Source organism: Homo sapiens, chromosome X (genome assembly GCF_000001405.40).
Source record: "Homo sapiens chromosome X, GRCh38.p14 Primary Assembly".
NCBI classification, from domain to species: domain Eukaryota; kingdom Metazoa; phylum Chordata; class Mammalia; order Primates; family Hominidae; genus Homo; species Homo sapiens.
In genome coordinates, this window is record NC_000023.11 from 132,979,378 (window position 1) to 132,991,693 (window position 12,316).

Below are 12,316 nucleotides of genomic sequence, written 5' to 3' on the forward strand. Positions count from 1 at the left end.
GAAAGTGGAAGAAGAGAAAAAGAGATGGGAAAAGGGGGTAAGGAAGGTAGGAAGTGTGGTGGGGGAAGAAAATTCTTGAGAGCAGACTTGATAGGGGTGTGTGTGTGTGTGTGTGTGTGTGTGTGTGTGTGTGCATGCGCACACCATGCCCAAACTGACAGGGATATTGAACTTGAAATACACTAGCTGAAATGCGGAGCCAAATGAGTAATTAATTACCCAAAAGAAATTAAGTTTTTAACCAGAAAAGAATGAGACATCTTAAAGAGGCAGGGTTTAGTAATTTCTTCATCAGTGGAAATGGGGACTCGTGAATAGGTTGAGATCAGTTATAGAGAAAGTTACATTGCTACACAGATGAGTTACTCGAAATCACAAATCTGTGACAAGATGCCAACCCCTACAAAATTTCCAAGTGGTATCAAAATGTTTGCATGTCTTTGGGAACTTCCTCTTGATCTACAATTGAACTTCACGGAATAGTAGTTTTGCAATACATTATCAGCTATTATGTGAAGAAAGTGCTTCATGGATAAAGAAATATAGGAAAAGCTGAGTTAAATAAAAGAGACAGGTATTTGTAATTGCAGGGCTTCTCAGAATCTTTATTGCTAATTGACATTGTACATCTCCCATAGGGGGACGTAGCACATTATAAAAAGTTTCTTGCCTAGCAATTCTATTTTGGGTATATACTCAAATAAATATAAATCATTCTACCATAAAGACATATGCACGCTTCTGTTCATTGCAGAACTATTCACAACAGCAAAAACATGGAATCAACCTAAATGCCTATCTGTAATAGACTGGATTGAAAAAAATGTGGTACATATACACCATGGAATACTATGCAGCCATAAAAAAGAATGAGATCATGTCCTTTTCAGCAACATGGATGGAGCTGGAGGCCATTATCCTAAGTGAATTTATGCAGGAACAGAAAACCAAATACCACATGTTCTTACTTACATAAGTGGTAGCTAAACAACAAGAACACATGGACGCAAAGAAGGGGACAATAGACACCAGGGCCTACTTGAGGGAGGAGGACAGGAGGAAGGAAAGGATCAAAAAACTACCTATTGAGTACTATGCTTATTACCTGGATGACAAAATAATCTGTACAACAAACCCCTGTGACATGCTGTTTACCTATATAACAAACCTGTGTGTGTACTCCTAAACCTAAAATATATATTTTTTAAAAAAGAGTTTCTTGGCCAGGTGCAGTGGCTCAAGCCTGTAATCTTTTGGAGGCTGAAGAGGGAGGATCGCTTGAACCCAGTAGTTCGAAATCAACCTGGACAATGTAGTAAGACCCTGTCTTTACAAAAAATTTAAAAATTAGTTGGCATGGTGGCATGTGCCTGTAGTACCAATTACTTGGGAAGCTGAGTCAGGAGAACCATTTGAGCCCAGGAGTTCAAGGCTGTAGCGAGCTGTGATTGCATCACTGCTCTCCAGCAGGGGTGACAGAGAAAGACCCCGTCTCAAAAAAAAAAAAAAAAAAAGAGTTTTTTTTTCATTTTTTCTTTTTTGAGACAGAGTCTCGCTCTGTCCTCCAGGCTGGAGTGCAGTGGTGTGATCTCGGCTCACTGCAACCTTTGCCTCCCGGGTTCACGCCATTCTCCTGCCTCAGCCTCCCCAGTAGCTGGGACTACAGGTGCCTGCCACCACGCCCCACTAATTTTTTGTATTTTTAGTAGAGACGGGGGTTCACCGTGTTAGCCAGGATGGTCTCGATCTCCTGACCTCGTGATCCGCCCGCCTTAGCCTCCCAAACCAAAAAAGTTTCTTAAACATACTTGTCAGGGAATTCATTGTTCACAAAATGCCTGTTAATATCTCATTGATCTAGTAGTCCCTGAAAGAGTTTGGAAAATATGGCTTTATAATTTAAGGTGCTTTCTAGGGTATCTAGACCTAGAACACAGAGGGGAAAAATGGGGGTCCCTAAAATCGTCAATGGAGCTCCAAAGACAAACGTTTCCAGCTTCTCAAATTTGCTTTGACTGGCCCGGGGCTGGTCATAGTAAGAACCTTCTTTTTGTTTTTTCTGAGGGTAGTGGACAAACTTCTGACTGACTCCACTAAGTACAGCTTCTTTCCAGTCTTCTTTAGCAGGCCTAGCTGTGAACAGGGATTAGGCTGGGTCTAGCCCAACACTTTGCAAATAAATCCAGAGGGCAAACAGCAGGGTCCTCCAAGCCACCAGGGGACCCCAGTCACTTACATGATGCCCAAAGACTGCAGCCTGAAGTCATAGCTCCTAGACATTTCACCAATAATGGACGGCTAGTTGGACTTGGAGGAGGGGGAGAAATGAATCCAATAAAAATGGCAGGGAAAGGATCTGTCAGTTCTAGAGTGAAGGGGTGTGATTATTGGAATATTTTATTTTTGTTTTTGCCCTAAGAATGATGTCCAGGTTCAATAATTTTAACAGGGGCCTAGGTGTTGGCTGAGATCAAAAGCAGAAAAATTCTGCCATTTCACACTTTTGTGACCTTAAATAACCCCCGTGTTATTGGGAAAGTGATATTTACTCTAAAGCCTCTTTCTTGTGCTTTTCCATGAATGTGGAGTGCCATTCTCTCCTGGAACAACTAAGTTTCTGTCAAAACTCCAAAATATGGAAAGTTTGGTAATGGAGTGTTAGGTTAGTGGAATGTAATCTTTCTGCCCTCCTTCTGAAGGTCTCTGATGTTTCCCATGTAATTATCTTTGACATTTAATTGAAAGCATCATTTTTTTTTTCATAAAGCAACCTATTTGAGCCCTTGGTGGTCACTTAAGACCAACTTCATTGCCACCTGGCACTCATCCAAGACCAAGATTATGTAGTAGCTGTGTGGTTCAGCTCCATCTGCTATAGACATCTACTGATTTTGTGGTTATTGGGGAAGTGGTGTCTTATTCGTGTTTTCAAGTTCCAACTTACAATGAAGGTTCTTTGGCTTTCCATGGTTTCATAGCTGCGAAATCAATGATGACTTCAGTAGCACTGACAATGTACTATATTTTTGAAAAGAAAATTGAAAAATTATTACCTGATGGATGAGAAATGGTTTTGGCATTTAAAAACAGAAAATGCTTCTCCATATCTCTTCTAAATTATGTCTGATGTTGACATTAGCATTTGTGTAATTCATCCAATTGTGGGAGCCATCATGTACTAATTCTTAACAGAAGTAAAAGCTATTACAGTGAGGAATAACATTCCTTCAAAAGGCTTCATTTCAGTCCTCTTCTTCTATGCATTTTGTATCAATTCCATGGTATTTAACTTATTTTGCTTTAATTCTGTTCTGGCAAATGCTGAAGAGGACATAAGGGGGCACCTAGAATTAAAGCCGAAATGAACGAGACAGTAGGCCTTAGTCCAAACGTTTGCATTCATTCAGGAGAGGCTTAATGGGCAATATTGAAAGGTATCAGATTTCTTTTTGTAACGAGGGCCAAATCTTCACTTAACAGAAGGCAATTTTGATAAATAGACAAAATATAAGGCTTAATTTTGGGGCAATCTTAACAGAAAATTATAATATGCCTATCTGTGATAAGACCAGAGGAAAGCATCATCCTACCTCAGTTTCCCCACAGTAGTTGGTTTGGAAGGCTAAAAGCAAAAAGATCCAAAATGTCTGCAAATGAAACTGAGTACAGGTTTAGGAGCCGTCTTTCCACAGTAAAGACCCGGGCATCAGGACCACATCCCATCAGCTCAGTCTGAAGACAGGGAGTGGTTCATGCTCATTAAGCTGACCAACCTGTGTCTCCACCAGGGAGAACATGGTGGCAGCCAGGGTTGTTGCTAAGGTGCTCTGCGTACTACGCCAACAAGGGTCATCTTGCCAAGCTGAAAACAGGCAGATGAGTATTGTCGGTGATGGGACTAGTCCATGCAAAAGAAAGGAACCATCAAAGAGTGCATTCTAAAAATAGACAAGTACAGTGTGACATAGAGTAGGTGACCAAAAAGGGTCCTAAAGGGAGTCTGGGACCATATTTTATAGAGCTTCTTATGCCATACTGAGTTTGTATTTGGTTTTGGAGAAAAGTAAGCCCTTGGGCAAAGAGGAGAGCATTCTATAAATGGGGAAAGACTGGCAAGATATCCTTCTTCCTCTTCTCTCCCTGGGGATTCATCAGGACAGACTTAGCTCAAACACTATCACCACAGATTCTGTGAGACTCTCTGACCAACCCCATCACTCTACACACACAGACACACTCCACAGATAATACTTCCTCCTTGACGTTCCCATTTCACCTCGTAATTGCCTTTATCCTGCACTTAGAGCAATCTAGTGTGTGAATCTGTGAACATGCCTGCTTCCTCAACTAGAGCATGCATCTGCTGAAGATCAGGGAATGTGCTTCATCTATCTCTGTACATTGCCTGGTGCATAATAGGAATTCAGTATATGTTTGCTGGATGAAAGACATTTTATTCTATTTTCTGCAGACAACATAGCAGGCTCAGAGTTTGATTTTGCTTACATAAAGAGGGTGTAGTGTTAAGATTTTTCTTCTTAATACATTAGGAGGATATGACCCATGTAGTTCACAAACACTGATTTCTAGTCAATTGAGATTTGTGCAAAACCCACTAAGGATGAGTTGTGTTTATTATTTGTTTGCAGTACATTACAGCTAATGTTTTGGTATTCAAAATCCACTGTACTTTTGCCTCATTTAGTTCTAAAAAAGAAACCAGGAAATATTCTTTCCTCTTTAAGTAATGGACATGATGAGCCAAGAAAAATACATTAAAGAACACGTGCATTCACTTTTCGTTTGTCTTAGATCAAAATTAGATGTTTCTCCTCCATTATCTCATAAAAGCATGTGATTTATAAAAGAAACTGAAATGAGTGTCATTAAAACTGATTACCCTAAGTGAATGGTGACGTATATGTGGGTATACAATTGTGATTATAATATTAGAGAAAGTAACCTAATGAACAGTGGGATAATGTGATTTTGTGGTGTTAGTAAAAGACTAAAAGCAGAGCCCCTTGGTGAAATCGCACCTGCTGATCTGAAACAGGGCCCGAATGGGAACCAGGGACAACAACTGTCACGGCCTCAACCCTCTGATGCCACTCACAGTGGACAGTGCCCTCAGGCTGCCCCAGCTGCTCAGAGTCCTCTCTACCCCAGATTGCGGTAACAATTCTGAGCCTGCCTGTCTTATGCAGAAACCAGGAGACAGAAGAGCATGCAGAACAGGAAGGGGAAGGAATGTTCTCTGAGAGAGGAACAGGTCTGCTGAGCACACCTTTCCACAGATGCACCCAACCCCCAACTGGAATAACTGTTGCTTCCTCCTCTGCTCATTGTGTCTCTGATCCCCACCCCCATCCTGTGAGCTCTGTCTCCTGCTGCATCAGTGACCTTCCTCCTCCTTGCATCTCATCCCTCTCTCACATGACAGTAGATCCTCCACCTCTCAGAGCTTCTCAACCCCCAAAATCCTTAAATTGCATCATCTTTCCTCTCTGCTTACCTTCCACACCAAACTGACAGTAGACGCACCCCATCCTTGCTCCCTCTCCTTGCTCACCCTTCCTTGCCTCCTTTGTCCTGAGTCTAGAGCTGACGCCCTCATCCTTCTGGCCTGCTTTCCAATGACATAAGGGAACGTCTCGGTAGTGAATGCCACTTCCTCTTAGCAGTTCTCCTTCACATCTCACCTCTCAGAAGTATTTGATGACTGCCTGGAATTCTCTTTGCATTTAGGATTCCAATATTTACCTCCTCTGACACCATTTCCCTAATGCACTCCTCCATTCCTGCCACCTACATGTGGGTGTCTTCAAAACTGTCCACATCTTGCCTCTCCTTTCCCTCGCAGATGTTTTCTTTTCCTATGACTTAGATGACCTGGTATCACTCTGTGGTTGGCTCTCAAATTTATGAATCCAGCCAACCATGCTGCCCCTTGCTCCTCGCTCCTGCTGTCACACAGACAATCTTCCCTCTTCGTCATTTGCCCTCTGCCCCTGTGGCATAGTTCACTGTGGTGCCATGCATTTCACTATTACGGTCCAAAGTTAGAGATTCAGATAAAAACACCTTCAACATCCAGCTCTGCCACATACTTCCAATCTGACTTCGGACAAGTTTCTTCACCAGTCTGAGTCAGTTTCCCCATTTGTAGAAGCAAAGATAATGCTTCATCCATGCCTCTGTCTTTGATGTGAGAATGAAGAGAATCCATGTAAATCACCTGGCCCATAGTAATTGTTCCATAGGTTTTAGCTGTTATTATTAATGTACTCAGTAGATATTTATTGAATAAGAATGAACTATGGTGATGCCTCAGGTACTGTAATAGGAAGATGGGAGGAGGGCACGAGGTTTGAAGACTTTTGAGCCTCCTCACATCTTATAGCATGAAGTGAAGGCCCCTTCTCCAATGTGGGCCAATCTAACCCAATGAGAATGACTAACCTTTGTGAAATATTACTTTTTAAAATTGCATGTAAGTAATATAATTATCCTCCAGATTAAGCTGTTTATTCACTGTAGCCTACTCTATATGATCACCCTTATGAGGTGATTCCAATCTTTGTTGATTACTTAACAACAACAAAGTTGTTTCACCTGCTTTCACCATGTGACGTGCCTGCTCCCCCTTCGCCTTCTGCCATGATTGTAAGCTTTCTGAGTCCTCATCGGAAGTGGAGCAGATGTCCAGTGCCATGATTCCTGTTCAGCCTGTGGAACTGTGAGCCAATTAAACCTCTTTTCTTTATAAATTACCCAGTCTCAGGTATTTCTTCAAAACAATGCAAGAATGGCCTAATACGATTACCTTAATGAAAATTGCACAAAAGAAATGTGCTGTCAAAGAAAAAAATCACCATTTGATTCTCTTGAAATTAAAATGCCCCTCCCCAACTCAGCCAGGTTATCTTTCTGGGATATAACATGCTTTTTCTCCTAAGTAGTAGATTTTTCACACAAATCAAGGAGTCACCTCCCTAAAGAATTTTCCCCCAGTGTGTGAGGGAGTCAGCACTTTGATTAGCAATTTTTCATTGTTTCTTGACTGCTCTGATCTGTTCTTAAGACTACTTTTAAAAATAAACTTTGTTTAGAATCATTTTATATTTACAGAGAAGTTGCAGAGTTCCTGTATGCTTGTCATCCAGTTCCCCCCTAATGCTAACATCTTGCATAACAGTGGTACATTTGTCAAAACTGAGAAATTGGCATTGATACATTACTATTATTAAACTACAAACTTCATTCAGATCTCACTAGTTTTGTCATTGATGTTTTTCTTTTTCTATTCCAGGATCTGATTCAGGATACCACATTGCATTTAGTCATCATGTCCTTTTAATAAATATTCAGCTGATAGTGAATCATGCTCAATCATTAACTATCAAAAGGTTCTCTGCTGCATGACAGTATATAAAACCTGTGAAACTAAAAGTGAGGTGGGGAAAGCTGGCCAAAATGGAACTTAGACCAGTCATCCAAATAAGCAAAATTAGTTGGAAAAAAATTTTTTCAGATGCTATCAAAGTGCAATGTTAAACATTTTGTTTTTTTGTCCTTCCTGCATCCCAGAACTTTCTTCAGTTTGTCTCTCCAGGAAGGATGAGCACCTCCACACTCAAGGTTTGACTATGTTGAAGCTACATCATTGATCATCAAATCAGAAGAAACAAGGAGTTGTTTTAGTCTTCACTGGAAGCACACCTATGTGACCTTGAGCAAGTGTATTCAGCCATTCTTGGTCTCCCTTTCCCCATCTGTAAAATGTGTGGTTTGTTGATGACTGGTCTGTGGATCTGTTGCATCAGAATCACCTGGAAAGCTGTTGAAAATGCTAATTTTCAGGTCCTAGCCCACTCACGAATATCTTTGCAGTTGGGCCAGGGTATCTGTAGTTTCATACACACACAGACACACAAGTGTGTGCGTGCACGCACATACATACAGAGTCACTCCCAAGTGACTTGGATCCACAGCAGGGTTTGGGACACACTGGATTAAACAATCTTCCTGCTTGCCTGAATTCAGAGGCAAAAAAATAGCCCTGGGAAGTATCCTTTAATAGAAGGCCAGGAAAAAGGATCAGCCTCTTTGCAGAAGCAGGTTTGGTGCTTCAGGGAGCTACCAAGACTATCTTCTTAAGAAACAATCCCCACTTCCCAGGCTTCTCTTTCATTCTACCTGGGCATTCAGTGTATAATGCATATGTAGCCTACAAAGTCAAAGAACTGGCTTTCTGTGCATTTTATTTAAATTAGTTTTAAGGAAAGTGGTTAAAGAGGAGAACTGAGGTAAATGAAAGTTAATCCACTTATTTTACTTGCACTCTGCCTTTTAAGAAACCCTCTTAACTATATTCTGAGTGCCAATAAATAACAAGGAAATATTAGCAAGTTGATTTTGTCTGTGATTTCTGCAACTTTCTGTTTTAATTGACAGAACCTCAAGAGCTGAAAAAAGGAATCATATAATCAAGACAGATTATAGATCAAATAATTTTATTAAATGAGAAAACTGAAGAAAATCAAAATGCAAACAGGCAATACCATTACATAAAAATTTGACTCAATTAATAATGAGTCACTCCACATCACAATTGTTTGAGGCACCAGTTTTCCTGCATTTACAGATAAAGAAACTGAGGTCAAATGCACAAGATTTCATAGAGTAGGTGACATAGAAATTCAGTCCAGGTCCAAGGTCTCTAATGCCACGTTCCAGAGATGTTTTTAGCAGGCTTATTTATGAACCAGAAATAGTATATAAATGTTTAGGGAATATACTACACATCTACTTGATGTATGCAGTCATTAAAATGGATAAGCACCCTTACATCCTGCAGATGAGAGAATAAATTGGTACCATTGAGCCAGGTGCAGTGGCTCTTGCCCATAGTCTGAACTACTCGGGAGGCTGAAGTGGGAGGATTGCTTGAGCCCAGGAGTATGAGGCTGCAGTGAGCTGTGATTGCACTACTGCATTCCAGCCTGGGCAACAAAGCGAGACCCGCCTCTTAAAAAAACAAAAATAAAAATAAAAAATAACTGATACAATCATTCCAGAAAGCAATTTAGCAATCTCCATAAAGTGTCTTTTCAAAGTTCATACTCTTTGCCCCAGTAATTCACTCTCTGGGAACTTATCCTAAGGTAATAATCAGAAATTTGGCAAGAGGCTTATTTGCAAAACTGTGCATTAAAACAGTACTTTAAAAAATGAAAAACCTAGAAGGAAACTAAAGGTTCCAAATTAATGAGTTAGATAAGTGATAGCTCTTTATATGTTATAATATCACATAAATACAAAAAAATGGTGTTCTAATAGTGTAGGAAACTATTTATAATATTTTAAGGAAAAGGACATGATCAAAATATTGTATGTATACTATGATCCCAATTTTGTTGAAAGAAAAATGTGTGCATGTGTAAAGAAAACAGGACTGAAAAGAAATACATTAGCATATTTAAAGTGTCTTAAAATGTAAAAGAGTGTTAAGGTGGTTCTCTCTCTATGGTGAAATTAGAGTTCATTCTTTAGTCTCTTCTTTGAGCCTTTCAGAATTTTGAATTCTCGTTAGTAAGAAACAAACCACTTTTATGATCAGAAGGAACACAATGTAATTTTTGAGAGAAATGAAAACTGCAGATTATAAAAAAGTAATAACAGAAAAATCCTATGATATGTTTAGTAAAAAAATAAAAATTGCATACACAGTAGAGTTTATGAAGATATGCACATAAATAATTATAACTCTGCAGAGGAAGGATTAGATGAAAGCACAACAAAATATTAAAGATGTTTGGGTTTAAATGGCAAAAATAAAGTGAATCTCTTCTATAGCTTTTTATTTTCAAAAATTGTATTAAGGCCAGGCGCAATGGCTCACGCCTGTAATCCCAGCACTTTGTGAGGCCAAGGCGGGCAGACCACCTGAGGTCAGGAGTTCAAGATCAGCCTGGCCAACATGGTGAAACCCCGTCTCTACTAAAAACACAAAAATTAGCCAGGTGTGGTGGCGCATGCATGTAGTCTCAGCTACTCAGGAGACTGAGACAGGAGAATCGCTTGAACCCAGGAGGCAGAGGTTGCAGTGAGCCGAGGTTGCAGTGAGCTGAGATTGCATCACTCTACTCCAGCCTGGGTGACAGAGAGAGACTCCGTCTCAAACAAAAATTTGTATTAATGTGATTTTTAAATAATGTTTACATGTTCCTTCATCTTCCCTGCCACCTCCATCCCCAGTTCTCACAACCTAGGGTGCTGTGCAGCTAAGAGCACACAAGCTGTAGAATCAGTCACAAGTGAGCTCCCACCTTGGCTCTGAAATTCACTTGCTGTGTGTCCTTTGGCAATTATTTTCTTTGAGAAACTCATATGAAAAATAGCATAGCACCTGGCTCCCCAGATTACCAGGATCATGAAAGGAGATGATGGATGCTAATTGCTTAGCATATTTCTGCTAGAATCACTAGAGCTTTGTGGCCATTAGAGTTGGGGCGCTTGATGAGTTTGGGGTTTTCACTAGCGTGTCTTCGGCTTCACTCTTGATCTTACTTTGCCAGGCCCCAGAAAAGTAGGGGTGAAGTTGGCAGGTCTTCTGAACCCTGCTTGTAGCATGAGAAAACTAGTCAATAGTCTAGAGAGGAGAACTTGGATGAAAACATGTTCTTCCTAGTCCCACAATGGATGTCTCTGTCTTGGGTAACCCACTTGGAATTCAAAGTGAATTCCAACTTTGGTCAGTGTGCTCAACCTTGGGTTATTGAACTTCAACTCAAAGATGTGTTTTTAATCAATGCCTTTCCTTCTTCTAAATACACATGCTTTTAAGGAATAATGGCGGGTGCTCAGATAGGGCATGGAGAGGCATACATATAGACACACTCAAGGATGCCCGCCAATATCTTTCTGCAGGACGTCCATTCTGTCTCGTGGTCCATCATTCAATTCAAGCCTTTGGGTCAACTCCCTAACTCTCCTAAAATGGAGTATTAATGTGTATTCAATCACATGTCAGTGTCATTCATTTGTTAGGGACTTCCTCTAATCAGATAGCTGGGAATGAGGTCTGAGGGAACATGGGTTTTGAAGACAAAGTAATTTCAAAATTCAGGACACTAGCTGAGTCTAGTCTAAGTGTAGAGTCAAAGGCAAGGAGGTGAGGAACTCATGGAGACTGCCCAGCTCTGTGCTGGTGAAAAGCAGCTACCTTCAGTTCTTCATTGCCCTCAGCTCTAAAATGGCCCAGTGGTTCAGGCTTTCTTTGCCTCTTGAAATCATCCTTAATTTTTAGTATTAACAGATACTAGTGGTTCAGGGCATGAGGTCCAAGTCAGTCACACATGGACTCCAAGTCAGAATTCCCATCTTAGCTGTGGAACCTCAAAGAATGTTTTGAAATGATGGCACCTTCTACCAAGAAGTGCTGGAATGATCAAGTGAGATGTTACAACTAGGCAACAGCACAGATTGTGGCACTAAAAAAGCCTTCAATAAATAAGAACAAGTATTATTCTACTCCTTGAGCTTACTTGTATTCTTAATGACTTCTGCAGTTCCAAAATTCCTTGCTCTCATGGAAAACAAACATGCAGGCTTCTCTCTGATCTGTGGAAGTGGACAGTGCATAGAAATACTAGCAGCAGCAATTCCTGTCTCAGGGCTTTCTGAGACCATGGTTACTCACATAACTCTCTCACACAGAGCCTGGCTGAACGGAGACACCAAACACTTGGTTATCTTTCCCCATCAGCTGGGGGCCAGTGGAACTGGGCATTGCAAGCCTTATCTGAACTATAACAAAAATTCATTATTAGACTCTCATTACAAGCGTAGGGTCAGGCGTGGTGGCTCACACCTGTAATCCCAGCACTTTGGGAGGCCAAGGTGGGAGGATCACTTGAGCCCAGGAGTTCAAAGACCAGCCTGGGCAACACAGGAAGACCCCGTCCCTACCAAAAATTAAAAATTATCCAGGCATGATGGTGTGTGCCTGTGATTCCAGCTACTCGGGAGGCTGAGGTGGGAGGCTAACTTGAGCCTGGGAGGTCTAGGCTGCAGTGAGCTATGATCAAGCCACTATACTCCAGCCTGGGCTGCAGAGTGAGACCTTGTCTCTAAAAAAATTTAAAAAAAGAAAAATAAAAAATGAACTTAAGTCGATGTTCTGAAATGGAGTCAGGTTAATAGTAATATCCTAAATGTCACTGTCATCTGCTAACCTAACACTTTAGGCCCTTACAAACTCCCCACCACCCAGAGCAGCATTTCAAAGAATCTCTGGGGAGAGGGGCATACA

General features: G+C 40.9%; 1 long non-coding RNA gene across 1 annotated transcript in view; it reads left to right on the forward strand.

Moving 5' to 3' along the window:
- Nucleotides 1–9,857, forward strand: part of LOC124905219 (uncharacterized) — a 31,800-nt gene extending 21,943 nt beyond the window's left edge. The window contains exon 2 of the long non-coding RNA XR_007068337.1: nucleotides 7,591–9,857. This is a non-coding gene — a long non-coding RNA (uncharacterized LOC124905219). The remainder of the gene's footprint in view (nucleotides 1–7,590) is intronic.
- Nucleotides 9,858–12,316: the final 2,459 nt, after the last annotated feature.